Genomic DNA, 19,941 nt, shown 5'->3' with positions numbered 1-19,941 from the left:
TCATTTTATGAGGCCAGCATCACCCTGATACCAAAACCTGGCAGAAATACAACTAAAAATGAAAAACTTCAAGACAATATCCTTGATGAACATCCATGCAAAAATTCCCGTGAGATTTCTTACTGTCATTCAAGTCTACACTCAACATTCAGCCTTTGATCAAATTGTATTAATATGTTTCCTGCTGTTTACAGCCCTAGTGGTTCCTGCTCCAGATAAGCAAATCTCAGCTGTGATTCTTGGAATGTGCCTATCTCTCCAGATTCTGATTTGTGCACCATGACCTCAGTCCTCTAATGTGTGCATAGTTCTCTAATGGGCCCATAACTATAGTGCAATTCTTTTAAAAGATATTTACTGCCAATATTTAATTACATATAATATATATTTGATAATTTGTGTAAGTTATTTTTGGCTTTTTTGAGCAATATAAAAATCATTATCTAATATATAAATGATCTCTATATATTTCTATTTAGAATCTGTGATAAAGGTATGAATATGTGATCTAGTAGTTACCATCAAGATATTTGGAAGATATCAGAAGATCTGACGTTCAATCCTGAATCAAAACTTTGGGAAGGCTTTTCATTGTAAGACAGAAATATTATAACTATCTCATAGGATTTTTGTAAAGAGTGAAAGAGAAAACGTATATATTTACTACAGTATCTAGCTTGTTAAAATGCCCAAAAAATCATAATTATTATTAACTTTTATTTACAGATAAAAAAACAAGATTAATATAGTTAAGGGCTTGTTCAAATCTCTAAAGAAAAAAATAAATATATATTCTCCTTTCAAGGGAATAAAATCAAGCACGTGGAGAAGAACAAATAAAGAAAACAACAAAACACAAAGGTTTTAAATTGTCCAAATGAACACATAGAAAACTGCCTTAGGGCAGTAAGAAAAAAAATTTGCCACATTGTGTTGGGGTCAAAGAAGGAAAATCTCCATGTGTTTAGATAAGCATTGAGGGCATTGTAGAATATTCATGGATAACCACAGGATGGCTAAATAAAGGAAGCTGTGGTCAAACGATTTTATGCAGGAAAACAGCAAATAGTGCAGAATATCTGAAGGATAGTATTCAGGTTGATTAACGTGGAGAATGTAAATGAAATCTAGGCTTTCTGGATAAAGTAGATTTAATTTAGTAAGTCATTTTTTTAATGAAAAAATGACATAATGAAATATGCAAACATTTTAAAATATTCTATTTTTCTTGCACAGATTTAAACATAATATTCAACTGTTTATACAGATAAAAAACCTAAATAATCTGAGTAAAGGGTTACTGAAGTCAGTGGAACAAAAATACAACAGTTAAGTAAGAAAAGACAAACAGATGTTCCCCTTCCTGTGTCCATGTGTTCTCATTGTTCAGTTCCCACCTATGAGTGAGAACATGCGGTGTCTGGTTTTTTGTCCTTGCTGTAGTTTGCTGAGAATAATGGTTTCCAGCTTCATCCATGTCCCTACAAAGGACATGAACTCATCATTTTTTATGGCTGCATAGTATTCCATGGTGTATATGTGCCACATTTTCTTAATCCAGTCTATTATTGTTGGACATTTGGGTTGGGGCCTGTCGTGGGGTGAGGGCAGGCGGGAGGGATAGCATTAGGAGATATGCCTAATGTTAAATGACGAGTCACTGGGTGCAGCACACCAACATGGCACATGTATACATATGTAACTAATCTGCACATTGTGCACATGTACCCTAAAACTTAAAGTATAATAAAAAAAAAAGAAATGCCTCCTATATTAAACTTTAAAACACACACACACACACACACACACACACACACACACACACACACCCCGAATAGAAAAACATAATAGAGTTGTTATCTTCAGTAAAATAACTTCTGGTCCTTTAATTCACTGCAGTCTGAAAAATCCTTAATAAAAAGATTGTAGCAATATAAAAAAAAAAGAAAAGACAAACAGATGAACAAATTGGTGAAGAATTATTAAAAATCAGGTGTAAACATCAGTAAAGTAGATATATTTCAACCCAGAAAAGTAAGGGTCTCCCGCTGCTGGATGCTATATTTCAATTTCTTTTGTAGAATATTTCAGGATTAGATATAGAGCCAAAAATGTATTGAAATTTCAAACCAAATAATTGTGCATGCTTGAATGGTACAATAATATATAACTAAACAGTCACAAAATAATAATAAATAGTGGCGTCTTTTTTAAGAAAATAAGGAATAATAATTGCTTTCCAGAAACAAAATTAAACAATTATTTCATAATGAATATATCTAGTTTTTAATGTTCTAGTTTTTGGAAACAAATCCTAAGGACAGCATGAGGACTTACTAATAAAACTATCCATGGTGGCCATTAGACATTTTAATATAGTTCAAGAACATTTTTAAAAGGATATAGAATTTGAAAGGTACATTTGACCATTTGTCATCTAACAAGTCACATGGATATTATTAAAAATTAGTTTAAACAGGCTCTAATAATGCCTCTCTCAAGCCTGTCTCATATTTATCATAATAAATTACTTCTTACACAATTCAACAATGGCTTAATTTTATTAGAATATAAATATATACCTATATGTAGCGAGAAAGTCAAAGGAATAAGTAAATGTTTATTACTTCAAGCTCTTGTATGTACCCTATGTGAATAGATTGAATCTTCCCATTAATGGTGAGGAATGTATGCCTTGTCTATGGATCATTTAAATCAATTATCTAAACTGTGGTGATATTTTTTGATGGGCTATATATTTGAGAAGAAGGACAAAGCCAAAAGAGTGAACAAATAAACATGAGCTGCTTCCTAAATGGATGACTACTTATTTTTTTCAAATCATGTCCAGGGACAAATATTTTCCTAGCTAAAGTTTGATTTAAATATAATAATCTGAGTGTTTTTTTAAATGTGCTACTAACAAAATTTTATTTTTTAAAAAAGACAAGAATATATGTCATTTTTAGTAGTAAAGGCAGGGGTTAAAGGAGAATTACCAAATGTATTCATAAAGAGGCTACTTTCACCACAGCTCAGTAAACATGATTGCTGCTGTCTGGGCCAAAGATTCATTTTGTTTTCACTCTGGCTTTCTTTGCCAGTGGGGAAAGCTAAGTAATGCTGCTGTCTTTTCAGTCATCCTTATCAGAAATGATCACTCTGTGTGGCATGTGTTAATTATTCTGGCCCTCTCTTTTTCTCTCTATTAGATTAATAGTTGCCAATTATGTATCCTCTCTCCTGCACTGCTATTGTGTACACATTTTCTAATTCTCTTCATTACACCAGTGAGTATCTATAATTATAGTTATAAGTTATCCATCTATCTTTTCAAGGACAGTGAGAAATGTAATGCTGTGAGGGCTTGGCCTGGAGAGAGAGAGAGAAAAAGAGAGAGAAAGAGAGAGAGAGAGAGAGAGTGAGAGAGCATTTGGATACGTATAAAATGAGAGAATTAGAAAGTCAGAAATTAAATTTGTTACTTTTATTTAAAACAATAGACTAAAACAAATATACAAAGATAAATCTATAAAATCCCAGTCTTATTGCAAGCATCCAGTCTGATCACTGAGGGAACCCATTACCCTGCTGTTCAAATATCTTCCTCAACCTGCTGGTGGATGCAAGCTCCTCATACTACTTGAATGTTTGAAGAATTTATAGTCCATTATCAGTGCAAAAGCTGAAACCACAATGATATATGATAGCATACCAACTAAAATTCACAATAGGTTGCAGGATTTTATAATATTCAGTGGGAGTTTGGTGGGAAAAATAGAATAAGAACTTGGACAGCTTAAGGCAACAGAGCCAGCTATCATCAAGAGGAACAGTGGCAGAAAACAGAAGTGGTGTGTTCTGAAGATATCAACTTACTGCCTCCCAAAATGATTTTGTAATACCATAATGAGAAGAGTAATACAATAATGAGAAGGTAGAGTGAAGTTAAAGAAGCAGGGAAAGACATTCTTTAATACTTGCATTTCTTCCCTAAAAGATTAAAAAGGACTTTTGAAACAAACTGGACAAAGCTCATACGGTATTATCAGGTCAAAAACCTGTGTATTTGGAGGCATGAAACTGTTGTTCATAGCTCTTTAACTTTCTTTTTCTCTCATATATAAGAAAACTGCCAGTGAGCCAACAGACCCAGACTTATTGGGCTGTGCAGTAGATTGTCAGATCCTTTGCTAATGGGAGTTCTAACCTTTATAGTGCTGAGAAGGAAAGAGACAAATGATCCCTGCTCCTAGACTTTGCAACCTGTGTACTCCTTTTCATGTAAATCTTCATTTCTACCGAGTTTTACTTGGTCCCATTAGCCAGAAAATTGCCTATCCATTTTTGCATTCTTAAACTTTTCTATGTCTATTAGCCCTTAGCATGGTGTAAATGCTTGTTTATGTACATCTAATTCTAGTCCTGGACAATGAACTGCTAGAGATTAGAATCGTATTGAAATGATTTACAGCCTCAGTTTATACTGTAAGTCTTGGATCACAGTTGTTATTTGATCGGTGTCCTCTAAATGCAGTGATGTGCCTCGTAACATTTCTGTCAACAATAGGTCACATATACAATGGTGGTCTCATAAGGTTATTATGGATCTGAAACCTGTCTGTCACCTAGTGATGTAGACATTGTAACATCATAGTATAAAGCTTTACTCATGTGTTTATGGTGATGTTGTTATAAACAAATCTACTGCATTGCAAGTCCTATAAAACTCTAGCATAAAGTTGAAAATATGCAATTATGTATAGTACATACTTGATAATGATAATAAACAACATTACTGGTTGATTTATGTACTATGCTATAATTTGATCATTAGAGTGTATGCCTTCTACTTATTTAAAAAAAAAGTTAACTGTAAAACATCCTTAGGCAAGTCCTTCAGAAGGTTTTCCAGAAGTCATTGTTATCATAGGAGATGACAGCTCCATACATGTTATTGCCCCTAAAGACCTTCTACTGGGGCAAATGTTAAAGTGGAAGATGCTGATATCGATTATCTTGACCATGTGTAGGCCTAGGCCAGTGTGTGTGTTTCTATTTTGATTTTAAACAAAACTGTTCAAAAAACTAAATAATTTACAAGTAAAAATGCTCATATAATACATATATAAAGAAAAAGTCTTATTGTACAGCTGTTCAATGTGTTTCTGTTTTAAGCCAAATGTTACTATGAAAGAGTCAAAAGTTTAAAACATTAAAATGTATTAAAAAAGTTACAGTAAGCTAAATTTAATTATTGAAGAAAAATATATTTTTATATGGTTAGTGTAACACAAATGTACAGTGTTTATAAATTTAATAGTAATTCATAGAAATATCTTAGGCCTTCACATTTATTCACCACTTACTCACTGACTCACCTAGAGCAACCTCCAATCCTACAAGCTCCACTCATGGTAAACGTCCTACACAGGTGTACCATTTTTAAAAATCATTTTTACTGTATTTTTCTATGCTTATATAAGTTTAGTTACACAAATACTTATTGTGTGGTAATTGCCTACAGTATTCAACATAGTAATATGCTGTACAGGTTTGAGCCTAGGAGAAATAGGTTATACTATGTATCCTAGGTTTGTAGTAGGCTATACCATCTATGTTCATGTGAGTACAATCTATGATGTCCACAGGATGAGAAAATCACATAATAATGCATTTCTCAGAAGCTACATGCATTGTTATGTGACACATTAGATAGACCATATAAATGTATACTTTTATGAAATAAACCATTTAGAAATGATTTTAAAGTGTCTACTACCTACCACATACTGTGTTAGGAGCTGCAGTTATAAGCACCATTTAGAATAATTTCTCCAATTGGTTATAAGTCTGGCAGCAAAGAAGAATTTTTAAAAAGACATCTAATACATATATATATATGCACACACATGATAAGTGGATTAATCCTATGAGAGCATTATATGTGTGTATCTGCGCACTGATGTGAACACGTGTGTGTATAAATTTACTTCTTAATGTTTGAAATCTTGTTTTGTAATTAAATCATTTTTTGAGGATTCAGGCTATGTTTGTTAATGTGTAACATCCTTTCTGAACAGGTGTGCAGTAAAACATTAGCAAGTTTTCAAAAATTAAATTATTAAAAATAACATTTAATATATATTATTAAATATGTTAAATATTTAAAGATAAACAATTTTGAAAAATTAATTTCCTATTTGTGCATGATGCCTGAGACTAGTTAAGGCAAACTTTACTATATGTGTGTAACAATTGCTGACATTTTTTGCATATATAATGTGTGTTTTTTGTTGAACAAAATAATATATATCCTCCCATCTTTCTCTATTGGTTTCCTACCTCTGCACTACCCATGACTGCAGAGTCTGGAGTTTAAAACAACAAACACTATCTCACATTTATGGTGGTTCAGGTACTTGTGTACCACTTAGCTGAATCCTCTTCTTGAGATCTCACAAGACTTTAATTTAGGTGTCAGAAAGGCTGCATTCTCATCAGAAGGCTAAAGTAGAGAAGATTCTTAAGTAGAGAAAAAAATGCACACTCAGTTTGTTGGCAGAATTTATCTCCATGCAGTTTTAGACTGGGGATCCTAGCTTTATGTTAGCTATTGGTTGGAGGCTGAATTTCTCTTCTAGAGGCCACTTGTGAGCTTCCTACTATGCCTGTTTGCCTCTTAACACCCTGTTAGGAAGTATCTTGAGAGAGTCTACTAGCAAGATTGTGCCTTTACACAGTATCATGTTACCACCAGAGTGAAATCCCATCACCTTTGCCATATTCTATTCGTTAGAACCATTCCCAGTCCCTGCTCACACTCAGAGGGCATTAACACCAGGAGGTGAAGATCATAAAGGATCATTAGAGAGCCTTTTGCTCACACATTCCATAAAGCAGATCCTTATTTTCTGATCAGGATACTGAGGACACCAAATGTGATACAACCTGCCTGACGTTCCACCATTGGTAAGTGGCAAAGTCAGGTTTCTAACCCAAGCTATTTGGTTCTACAGCACATTCTTTTAAACTCTGTGTATGCTGTATCACTTTATTATCAAATTTCGGAAGGAATTGCTTTACATGATCCAGTGTCCATTTTTACTCTTAGAAGTGGATAGATGGCCCGGCACAGTGGCTCACGCCTGTAATCCCAGCACTTTGGGAGGCTGAGGCGGGTGGATCATCTGAGGTCAGGAATTCAAGACCAGCCTGACCAACATGGTGTAACCCCATCTCTACTAAAAATACAAAAAATTAGCCAGGCGTAGTGGCACCTGTAGTCCCAGCTACTCGGGAGGCTGAGGCAGGAGAATCTCTTGAACCCAGGAGGTGGAGGTTGCAGTGAGCTGAGATTGTGCCACTGCACTCCAGCCTGGGCGACAGAGTGAGACTCTGTCAAAAAAAAAAAAAAAAAAAAGGTGGATAGACACAAAACAAGTTATAGGCTAGAATGGAACCCATAGTTTTAGGTTTAAGAAAATCTGAGGGGAATGTTTGCCTTGCAATATTTACTTTCAAGTTTGGCCATGGGATGCATTCTGTTAATATTTATCAAGTGAAAGAGTCTACCACACTGTGTCTAACACAAAAACATTAATATTACTGGCTAGAATCACAAAGAGTCTTGAAGTATGCTATATTTGGATCTTGGAAGATTTCAGTTTCTCTGCATGAAGTCAAACTTTAAATTTACAATTCTCAAGAGCATTAGGAGCTGACATGCTAAACTTACATGAAGTATTCCCTCCGCAGTGGAAGTCAATCAGATTTGGAAGAGGAAGCTAATCCAGTTATATCCTCCTAATGAAACTCACCACTGTAAACAAAAATTATCACTTCAATTGAAGATTACTTGCTAGCTATTTGAGAGTAAGTCAGTTGTTCACCTTTCCATAAATTTAGGAGAAGGCACTCTGTATGGGTTAGCAATATATCTTCCAAGAGGAAAAGAACACAGGTAGCAAAAAGACAAATATGTGAATATTTGGAATAAAGTTGACATTAGTTGATCATGAATGGATTAATAATAACAATAAAATAACAAAGGTGGATATTAAACATGTATGTCTTTCCTGATTGCCTAGTGTAATGTTTAAAAACAAAAAATCAGGACCAGGACGTGGGAAATCTGAATTCTAATTCTAACTATGGCATTTACTCTTAATTGATTTAAGGAAAATGGCTTAAGTTCTCTCAGACTCATATTTTCTTATCCATAACAATGATATGATAGTACATTTTAATACCCACTTTACCAGGGTTTTTTGTGGGAGTACAATATGTAATAAATATAAAACATTTTGTGTGTAGTATTTACAAATGATGATTGATAGCAGATGATGCATGTTTTTATACAAGTTCTTTTATCATTCATATATCAAATGCCAATAATTTAGAGGATAAACTTACATTTTAAAAATTGACCCTAATTTATATATTTAATATAATCTAGTTTTTCAGCTATATACAGAATATTGAAGATGACTATATTAGTTTATATTGCAGTCTATTTTGAAAAAAAAATTGGGGTCAAATTGCTGAAGGCATCACAAGTCATTTCTAAAATGGGCCTTTTCCTCATTTAACTTAATGGGAAAGATTATGACTTTTACTTTCCAGGTGTGATTTGATGCCTTCAGACATCTTCTCTCTGTTCACATTCCAATTAAATTAAATTAAATTGTTCCTATCGATGCAATTAACTCATTTACTTTAGAGCAAGAAACTCATTATTACGTAGGCGGGCTAAAAATCCAGGTGTTTTTCTCTTTTGCCTGATTTCTTTCTACTTTCCAAATGTTCATCCCAGAGAGCATGAAAAGAAAAGTTTGTTCTGCAAAGCTATCAATTGCCCCTTGCAGAGTGTGAAGCAGAGCATGAAAATGAAATGGTTAAAAATGTTAGACTCTACCTTTCCTTACAAATGAAAGGAAAGATAAAAAGATTACAAAATGAGTAAGGAAAAGGAAAATAGAGGGACTGGTTGAGGCAAGCCCTTATTAAGATAGGGACTTGGATAAACACTTAAATGGAGGATTTAAATGCTCTAGGTCATATAACAAATTAATAATAAACAGAAGGAGGCTTCAGGAGCTCTAAACTCTTGTGCTTGGTCTTGGAAGGAGACAGTATTTTCTTCTCAGTATTCTATATGGCCATCACTCACACTATCATGCAAAGCAAATCTAGAATTTTTACTTTATTTTATTTTATTTTATTTTAAGATGGAATCTTGCTCTGTTTCCCAGGCTGGAGTGCAGTGGCGTGATCTTGGCTCAGTGCAACTTCTGCCTCCCGGGTTCAAGCAATTCTCTGCCTCAACCTCCCAAGTAGCTGGGACTACAGGCATCCGCCGCCATGCCTGGCTAATTTTTGTATTTTTAGTAGAGATGGGGTTTCTACCATCTTGGCCAGACTGGTCTTGAACTCTTGACCTCGTGATCCACCCACCTGGGCTTCCCAAAGTATTGGGATTACAGGAGTGAGCCACCATGCCCGGCCTAGAATTTTTTTAGTAAAGAGTGAGGGAGAACTATCACTTCTTATTTTCACCTCCAAGGAGTGCACATGGATCTTTCTATCACGTTTTTGTTTATGGCAACTCGAGGGACTCCATCGCATAGGCATAGACAAGCTTTAGTGGACAGTTGCTATTGAGAATGCTGAACTTTTGTTTGGCTAAAAGCCTGAATTTCTGCAGCTCTCATCAGTTGAGTTTAGAAGAAAGAATTTGACTTACTGTATTGTTTAGCCTATTTGTTTTTCCAGCTATATTTGGAAGCAAGTGTCGTGGGTTAAAATAAGTAAAAGGTAAGAGATCAAAATATCTGGCTTTGAATCTCAGGTAAATGAGTAACATGATTTATTTATTTTGGGTAAGTTAATATCTCTCTCTCTTTTTCAGTACCCTCTGTACCTAAATTGCAGGAATTTTTGTAGCCCTTTATTCGTGGTAAAAACACATTTAACAGTGAGGGGCTACTAATGTTATACTAAAAGGGCTATGATTTCTGATCAAGACGGCTTGCTTTAGGTTTTCATGTTTTGAACTATTCTGCTGTTCCAAAAAATATATAATCTAATGTCTGTATTCAAAGAAAAGCCTGTTTTCATTTTATAAGGCAAAACATACATCTTTGGAGACCACACATTTTTAAAAACAAAACAAAAAGTAAAGTGGGTAAGTGGGGCTGAAACTTCACTTAACAAGCACTGAAAGCCTGCAAAAGTGGCTGGAGCCACATATCTTACAGAATGAGGAGGAAAAGAATTACTCCAAGAGAGTCAGGGAGTTGGAGGCTGAATTACTGCTGGAAACCTGGGACTGGAGTATGACTCTCCCAAACTCTATGAAGCAAAGAAAAATCAATCTCCTACCACTACTTCTATGACTCCAGTTTCTATGGAGCCAAAAACTTGGGAGATGAGAAGACATGAATACAACCTCCCTTGAGACCAGAAACCGAACCAGCTATCTTACTTTCTTTCCCCAGTGATGGCCTCTCTTTTATTTTCAATATTACCTCTATCCATGTTCTTCCAAACGGATATTGTTTACTCTCTTAATTTTTAGTATCTACTAAGTTTTGATAATTTCAAAATTATATCTCCAAATTCCAATTGTTTTCTGAAATCCATACTAGTTTTCCAAGGAGCTAGTGAGTTAGTTATATCTAGAGACACTATAGCCACTCCAAATTCAGTGTCTGCAAAATTGAACTGGAGAATAGATAATAATATAATTTTGACTCTTGGGTTCAAAGACATCCTACATGGCAAATTAACAAGCACAATGCAGATTATCAACAAGCACCCACTGAAGACTCATCAAGATGCCTTGGAGTTCTATTTCATACAAACTGACACATTTAGAGCTGCAATCTAAACTTGATATTATTTTTTAATTTTTAATTTTTTTTTTTTTTTTGCCAGAGTAGGATACTTTGTAACTAGCAATGAAGGTGAGTGAAAGTCTGTATGCACAGATGCAAATAATATTTACATTGCTATTAGGTCAAACATCAGGAGACAGTTTTAGGACAAACAACCTATTTGGATGGGCTTATTAGGATTTGGTACTATGCAACTGGAAAACATAATATCCATAAAGAAAGTTAATTATTTAAAAGAATTTTTCCGCTTCTCTTTCCATGGAATGTTCCACAATGAGTTCTGCTTGACTATGATTGACATCTGTCAAGTAACATACTTCTAGATTTGAGGATTTTGCTGCCGTTGAGAAGGCCTTTGATTGAGGAAACGCAACCTTGACCTTAATTAGTTCTAATTCTGTGGCCATAAATTCACAGAAGTTATTTTCTCATGGTTGTTTTATTTTATTCTGTATTTGTTTACAGCTATTTTTTCTTCCTCTTTCCCAACCTTGTATATTTTTTAGCTCACCTCAGCCCCTTTATTTCCTGCTACTTCACAGCAGAATTGTGAGTCCAATATACTTCTTTCTTTATGAATTACCCAGCCTCAGATATTTTGTTATAGCAGCACAAAATGTACCAAGACAGATGATTTATCAGTTTCTTTAAAAAATTAAAAATACAGGCCAAAAACAGTAGCTCACTCCTGCAATCCCAGCACTTTGGGAGGCCAAGGCAAGTGGATCACTTGCGCCTAGGAGTTTGAGACTAGCCTGGGCAACATAGCAAAATTCTGTCTCTACAAAAAAAGTAAAAATTAGCTGGGTGTAGTGGCTCACGCCTGTGGTCCTGGCTACTTGGGAGACTGAGTCCAAGGGGGTAGAAGCTGCAGTGAGCTGTGATTGTGCCACTGCACTCCAGCCTGGACAAGAGAGTAAGTCCCTGTCTTTAAATAAATAAAAATAAATAAATTAAATAAATAAATAAACGTATCCTCACCATATGACTCAGCAATCTCTTGTCTAGGTATCTACTCAAGACAATTGCAAACATTTATTGAAACAAAGACCTGTATGCACATGATCAAAGCAGCATCATAAAAGTCAAACACTGGAGGCAATCCAAATGTCCATGGTCATGATTATGCTGTATTATTTTTCTGCAATGGTAAGTTGACTTCTTATATCCTGACATCATAGTTCAAGGTCTTTTTTATTTTTATTTATTTATTTATTTATTTATTTATTTATTTATTTATTTATTTTGAGATGGAGTCTGTCTGTCATCTAGGCTGGAGTTCAGTGGTGTCATCTTGGCTTACTGCAACCTCCACCTCCTGGGTTCAAGCGAGTCTCCCGCCTCAACCTCCTGAGTATCTGGGATTATAGGAGTGCACCACCATGCCCAGATAATTTTTGTATTTTTAGTAGAGATGGGGTTTCATCACGTTGGCCAGGTTGATCTTGAACTCCAAGTGATCCGCCCACCTCGGCCTCCCAAAGTGTTGGGATTACAGGCGTGAGGCACTGCGCCCAGCCTCGAAGTCATTTTTGAAACATAATATTACCTTTCCTACAGAAGAGAACCTACACTGAATATCATTGGCAGCTCATTTCAAGAAGAGTAATTGTAGCTCGGCACAGTAGCTCACACCTGTAATCCCAACACTTTGAGAGGATGAGCCTGGTGGATTGCTTGACGTCACAAGTTTGAGATCAGCCTGTGCAGCATGGAGAAAAAACATCTCTACAAAAAATACTAGAATTAGCTGTGGTGTGTGCCTGTAGTCCTAGATATTTAAAAGGATGATGTGAGACGATCACTTGAGCCTGGGTGGCGAAGGTTGCAGTGAGTCCAGACCTTGTCACTGCACTCCAGCTTGGGCAAAAGAGCCGGACCTTGGCTCAAACAAACAAAAAAATAAAAAGAGTAATTGTATAAATGACACCGTTAGAAGCAACAGTAAAAATTAATTTCGGCTGACAGAAAGCATGGCTTTCTCCACATGCAGAGACTCTTAATCTGGGGGGATTACATTTTTAAAAAATTTAATTGTATTTTTTAAGTTCTGGGGTACATGTGCAGGATGTGTAGGTTTGTTACCTAGGTAATCGTGTGCCATGGTGGTTTGCTGCACCTGTCAACCACTCACCTAGGTTTTAAGCCCACCATGCATTAACTCTTTTCCCTAATGCTATCTGTCCCACCCACCCTCCTCTGACAGGAGGTTCGCTTTGATGAGTCTCTTTTGCTGTTCAGAAGCTCTTTAGTCTAATTAGATCACAATTGCCAATTTTGGCTTCTGTTGCAATTGCTTTTGGCAATTTCATCAGAAAATCTTTGCCCATGCCTATGTCCTAAATGGTGTTGCCTAGATTTTCTTCTAGGGTTTTGATAGTTTTGGGTTTTACATTTAAGTCTTTAATCCATCTCAAGTTAATTTTTGTATAAGGTGTAAGGAAGGGGTCCAATTTCAATTTTCTACATATGGCTAGCCAGTTCTCCCAGCATCCTTTGTTAAATAGGGAATCTTTCCCCATTGCTTGTTTTTTTTAGGGTTGTTGAAGCTCAGATGGTTGTAGATGTGCAGTCTTATTTCTGATGTCTCTATTGTGTTCCATTGGTCTATGTGCCTGTTTTTTGTACCAGCACTTTGCTGTTTTGGTTAATGTAGCCTTGTAGTATAGTTTGAAATCAGGTAGTAAGATGCCTCCAGCTTTGTTCTTTTTGCTTAGGATTGCTCTGGCTATACAAGCTCTTTTATGGTTCCATATGGATTTTAAAATAGTTTTTTTCTAATTCTGTGAAGAATTTCAATTGTAGTTTAATGTGAATAGCATTGAATCTATAAATTGCTTTGCACAGTATAGCCCTTTTCATGATATTGATTCTTACTCTCCATGAGTGTGGAATGTTTTTTCCATCTGTTTGTGTCCTCTCTGATTTCCTTGAGCAGTGGTTTGTAGTTCTCCTTGAAGAGGGCTTTTAATTCCCTTGTTAGCTGTATTCCTAGGTATTTTATTCTCTTTTTGGCAATTGCGAATGGGATTTCATTCATGATTTGGCTCTCTGCTTATCTGTTGTTGGTGTAAAGAATGCTTGTAATTTCTGCACATTTATTTTGTATCCTGAGACTTTGCTGAAGTTAATTATCAGCTTAAGACACTTTTTAGGTTGAGTTGATGGGGTTTTCTATATATAGGATTATGTTATCTGCAAACAAAGACAATTTGACTTCCTCTCTTCATATTTGAATATCCTTTATTTCTTTCTCTTGCCTGATTGCCCTGGCCAGAACTTCCAATACTATGTTGAATAAGAGTGGTAAGAGAGGGCATCCTTATTTTGTGCCAATTTTCAAGGGGAATGCTTCCAGCTTTTGCCCATTCAGTATAATATTGGCTGTGGGTTTGTCATAAATGGATCTTATTATTTTGACATAGGTTCCATCAATACCTAGTTGTATCGAGTGTTTTTAATATGAAGGGATGTTGAATTTTATCGAAGGCCTTTTCTGTGTCTATTGAGAAAATCACATGGCTTTTGTCTTTAGTTCTGTTTATGTGATATGTTATGTTTGTTGATTTGGATATATTGAACCAGCCTTGCAACCCAGGATGAAGCTGACTTGATAGTGGTGGATAAGATTTTCGATGTACTGCTGGATTCAGTTTGCCAGTAATTTATTGAGGATTTTTGCCTTGATGTTCATCACGGCCTGAAGTTTTCTTTTTGTTGTTGCTTGTGTATCTCTACTAGCTTTTGGTATCAGGATGATGCTGGCCTCATAAAACGAGTTAAAGAGGAGATTCTCCTTTTCAATTATTTGGAATAGTTACAGAAGAAATGTTACCAGCTCCTCTTTTTACCTCTGGTAAAATTCAGTGTAAATCCCTCTGGTCCTGGGCTGTTTTTGCTTGGTAGGCTATTTGTTACTGCTCCAATTTCAGAACTTGTTACTGGTCTGTTAAAGAATCCAGCTTTTTCTGGTTCCATCTTGGGAGGGTGTATTCATCCAGGAATGTATCCATTTCTTCTAGATTCTTCAGTTTATTTGCATAGAGTTGTTTACTGTATCTTTGATGGTTATTTATATTTCTGTGGGGTCAGTGGTGGTATCCCTCTTATCTTTTCTGATTGTGTTTATTTGAATCTTCTCTCTTTTCTTCTTAATTAGTCTAGCTAGCATTCTATTTTATTGATTTTTTTTTTCCTCAGAAAACCAGCTCTTGGATTTGTTGATTTTTTAAAGGGTTTTTTGTGTCTCTATCTCCTTCAATGCCACTCTGAGCTTGGTTATTTGTTGTCTTCTGCTAGCTCTGGGGTTTGTTTGCTCCCGGTTTTCTGGTTCTTCTACTTGCGATATAAGGGTGATGATTTGAGATCTTTTTAGATTTTCAATGTTGGCATTTAGTGCTATAAATTTTCCTCTTAACACTGCTTTAGCTGAGTCCCAGAGATTCTGATACGTTGTCTCTTTGTTCTCATTGGTTTCAAAGAACTTCTTGATTTCTGCCTGAATTTCATTATTTACCCAAACATCATTCAGGAGCAAGTTGTTCAATTTTCATGAAATTGTGTGGTTTTAGTGAGTTTCTTAATCTTGAGTTCTAATTTGATTGTGCTGTAGGTCTGAGAAACTCTTTGTTATGATTTCGTTCTTTTGCATTTGCCGAGGAGTGTTTTACTTTCAATTATGTGAGTAAGTTCCATGTGGCACTGAGAAAATTAGTATATTCTTTTCTTTTGTACTGGAGATTTCTGTAGATATCATTCAGTTCCACTTGGTCCAGAGCTGAGTTCAAGTCCTGAATATCTTTGTTAATTTTCTGTCTCAATGATCTGTCTAACATTAACAGTGGGGTATTAAAGTCTCTCACTATTATTGTGTGGGGGTCTAAGTCTCTTTGTAGGTCTTTAAGAACTTGTTTTATGAATCTGAGTGCTGCTATATTGGGTGCATATATATTTATGATTGTTAGCTATTCTCATTGAATTGAACACTTTACCATTATGTAACAACCTTCTTTGTCTTTTTTGACCTTTGTTGATTTAAAGTCTATTTTGTCAGAAACTATGATTGCAACACTGCTTTATTCTGCTTTCCATTTACTTGGCAAATTCCCCTCCATCCGTTTATTTTGAGCCTATGAGTGTCTTTGAATGTGAAATGTATCTCTTGAAAAAAGCACACTGATGAATCTTGTCTTTTTAATCAGCTTGCCATTCTGTATCTTTTAATTGGAGCATTTTGCCCATTTACATTTAAGGTTAATGTTGTTATGTGTGAATTTGATCCTGTCATCATAGTGCTAGCTGGTTAATTTTGCAGACTTGTTAATGTAGTTACTTCATAGTGTCATTGGTCTGTGTACTTTAGTGTGTTTTTGTAGTGGCTGGTAATGATTTTTCTTTTCCGTGTTTACTGCTTCCTTCAGGAGTTCCTCCAAGGCATGCCTGGTGGCAACAAAATCCCTCAGCATTTGCTTGTTCAAAGAATTTTATTTCTCCTTCACTTATGAAGCTTAGTTTGGCTGGATATGACATTCTGGCAGTCTTATTTATTAGCACGTCACACCATCTCATTGTCATTAACAATTGTTTAATGGTCAAAACAGAAGCAGATTCACCAGGGGCAACACCACAACATTAAACACACTGGGAAGAAATGAGAATCAATATCACTGGACACGACAGTAGATATTATATAATCTGGTGCTAAAGACATTTCAATAATTAAAATACTATAAATGCTTTGTTGGTTTTAACTGTTATCTATAATATACTTGTGTTGCCATAAGAGTTGTTCACAAATGACATCTAAACACATTGAGGGTGCTGCATTCTGATACGCTTGATGCCCATACCATAAAATTGTTAGGTATACTTATTGTCATATCTATCTAGAAACAAACATAGAATACGGAATGTAAATAATAAAGTTATTTTAGTATTAAAATATTAAAAATAACTAGATGACAGTGGAATGTGGGAAGATGGAAAAACGATGGAGATAAACGTAGCTATTTTTCTCGTTTCAAAAAAAGGGCAAAAGCAAGAAGTACTGCCTGTATTTGATGGAACAAATGAGATCTCAATATATTATTTAAAGTTATAGAAGGTATCATACATTAACTAAAATAATAATGTAACTATCAAACATCTGACAAAATTTAGAGGCAGAAAAGTTTGCATAAATAAGCAACATTCTCATTTTTCATAAATACAAAGACTGTAGGATATGAATTAAAAATAGAAGTATGTATTTTCCATAAATGTGTTTATATTCAGTTAAAAATATTAAAATTAGGGAAAATCTTAAGGTAAATAGGATTATGGTTTCACACTACTGCTTTCTCCATAAGCCCTTCATACTATTTGATTAATTAGCAAATATATATATATATACTATCTTGATAAAAACATAAGTATAAATAATGCTATGATTATGTTATAAAGTAATAGTAATCAAACCCAATATGGTGCTGGGATAAAACCAGAGACATAGACCAATAGATCAAAATGGAAAGCCAAGAAATAAACCCATGCATATACAATCAACTAATTTTTAGCAAGGGTACACCAAGAAGACAGCAAAGGAGAAAGTATAGTCTATTTATTTTTATTCATTTATTTTTATTGTATATATTTGTTTTGAGATAGAGTCTTGCTCTGTCGCCCATGCTGGAGTGTAGTGGCACGATCTCGGCTCACTGCAAACTCCACCTTCTGGGTTCAAGTGATTCTCCTGCCTCAGCTTCCAGAGTAGCTGGGATTACAGGTGCCCAACACCTCACCTCGCTGATGTTTGTATTTTTAGTAGAGACACGGTCTCGCCATGTTGGCCAGGCTGCTCTCAAACTCCTGACCTCAAGTGATCCACCCGCCTTGGCCTCGCAAAGTGCTGGGATTACAGGCATGAGCCACCACGCTCAGCCAGGATAGTTTCTTCAATATATAGTGTTGGGAAAATTGCATACACACATGTGTAAGAACAAAACTGAATCTTTATCTTACAATATGCACAAAACCCCTCAAAATTAATCAAACACCTAAAAGGAAGAACGGAAACTATAAATCTCCTTTAAAAATAGGCAAAAAGTTTTTTAACAGATGTTGGCAATAATTTTTTGGATATCATACCTAAATCTCAGGCAAAAAAAGTAAAAGTAAAGAAGTGGACTGCATTAAACTAGTGAGCTTTTGCACAGCAAGGAAACAATTTAAAAAACACAGCCTATGAATTGGAAGAAAATATTTGTGAACCATATATGTGATAAAAGTTTAATATTCAATATTTATAAGAAGTCCACACAACTCGAAAGCAAAAAAAATAAAAAGCCCAACTGAAAAAATGGGGAAAGGAACTGAATAGACATTTTTCCAAAGAAGACAAAATTGCCAACCGGTAAACGAAAAGGTGCTCGACATCACTAAATGGCAGGGATATGCAAATTAAAACCACAATGAGATACCACTTTAAACCCACTAGGATAGCTGGTATCGAAGACAAAAGATGGCAAATATTGACCAGAGAATAGAGAAGAAGGAACACTTGGTGGGAATGTAAACTTGTACAACTCTTATGGAAAACAGCGTGAAGGTTCCTCGGAAAATTAAAAATAGAACTACCGTATGAGCCAACAATCGTTTTTCTGGATATATGCCCAGAGGAAATGAAATCACCCCCTTGCAGAGATGTGTGCACTCTCATGTTCATTGCAGCATTATTCGCAAAAGCCAAGATATTAAAACAACCCGAGTGACAATTAATGGACTAATAAATAAATTGTGTTCTATATACACAATGAAATATCATTCAGCCTTAAAAAAGGAGACACTGTAATTTGTGACCACATGGATGAACCTGCGGGATACACATATCATGAATATCACAAATTATATTCATTTAATTCTATAGAAAATCAGGGATGAATCAAGGAAACGTCAAAGTTTGTTTTTAACAAAGTATCTTTATATCTCATCTGTCTTTAAGTGAATGAAATAAGCCAGACACAGAAAGAAAAATACTACACGATCTCAATTACAGTAGAATCTGGAAAAAGTCAAATACATAGAACCAGAGAGAATAAGGTGGTGGCCAGGGGCTTGTGTGTGGGAGAATGGAGAGATCTTGGTCAAAGGGTACAAAGTTGCTATTATGTGGCTGAATAATTCAGAGGATCTAATGTGTGGCAAGTGGACTGTAATTCCTAATATTGTATTGTATACTGGAAATTTGCCAAGAGACTAGATTTTAGATTCTCTTAACATACACACACACACACAAACACACACACAGACACACACACACACACACACACACACACACACACGTTCTCTTACCAATATGTGAAGTGACTTATATGTTAATATGATTGACTGTAGTAATTTCAGTGTTTGTGTGTGTGTGTGTATATATATATATATTCAGAACATCATATTGTATACCTTAAATATAGACAATAATTAATAGATACATATTCACATAAATAAAGGCTACAATGAACATCTATATATTCTTCCTGAGTGGAATCTTGCTATTTCCCCTACTGGCACTGTACAGATGGGCACAAACTTTTGAGCTGACTGCTTTTCTCCTCCACAAGATTTAGCATAGACCTTAATATAAAAAAATTTAAAACGATTGCCAGCCACCTAGTAGTGATTATTTTATTTACTCTTTTTGTATCTCTGTTGAATAATAACTAAAATGTATATGAAAGAAGTTTAATACAAAGGTAGCATTGGGGTCTAAAACACGTGAAGATGCTTTTTAATTTTTGTGTCTCATCTATTTTTAAGCGCATCTCTGAATAAAAATTTTGATCCTGTTGATATGAGGCTTTCCCTTAAGCATTATTGCTCTAATTCTTTTATGGAACTCACTGATGTACTTAATGATCTCTGTTCCTGCAGCACATTTCGCAAGAGGTTCATGACTATTTTGTTTATTCTAATTAAAGAAGGGACGTGTAGGAAAATCATGACCCACACCGTGGGGGTCATAGAGTTGGCATCCTCTCCACAATCGGAGTAATCTTGACCACACACTGCTTGT

The 19,941-nt window shown here is 35.2% G+C and overlaps 1 annotated feature.

Moving 5' to 3' along the window:
- Nucleotides 726-1,242: an enhancer, noted in NCBI's record as "NANOG hESC enhancer chr3:80312337-80312853 (GRCh37/hg19 assembly coordinates)". NCBI's record gives its function as "activates a minimal SCP1, AML or CMV promoter by ChIP-STARR-seq in naive H9 embryonic stem cells {active_cell/tissue: H9 hESC(naive)}" and the evidence as "EXISTENCE:reporter gene assay evidence [ECO:0000049][PMID:30033119]".

Source organism: Homo sapiens, chromosome 3 (assembly GCF_000001405.40).
Source record: "Homo sapiens chromosome 3, GRCh38.p14 Primary Assembly".
Taxonomy (NCBI): domain Eukaryota; kingdom Metazoa; phylum Chordata; class Mammalia; order Primates; family Hominidae; genus Homo; species Homo sapiens.
The sequence above is the reverse complement of the archived record's forward strand: the minus strand, read 5'-3'. Positions and strand labels throughout refer to the sequence as shown.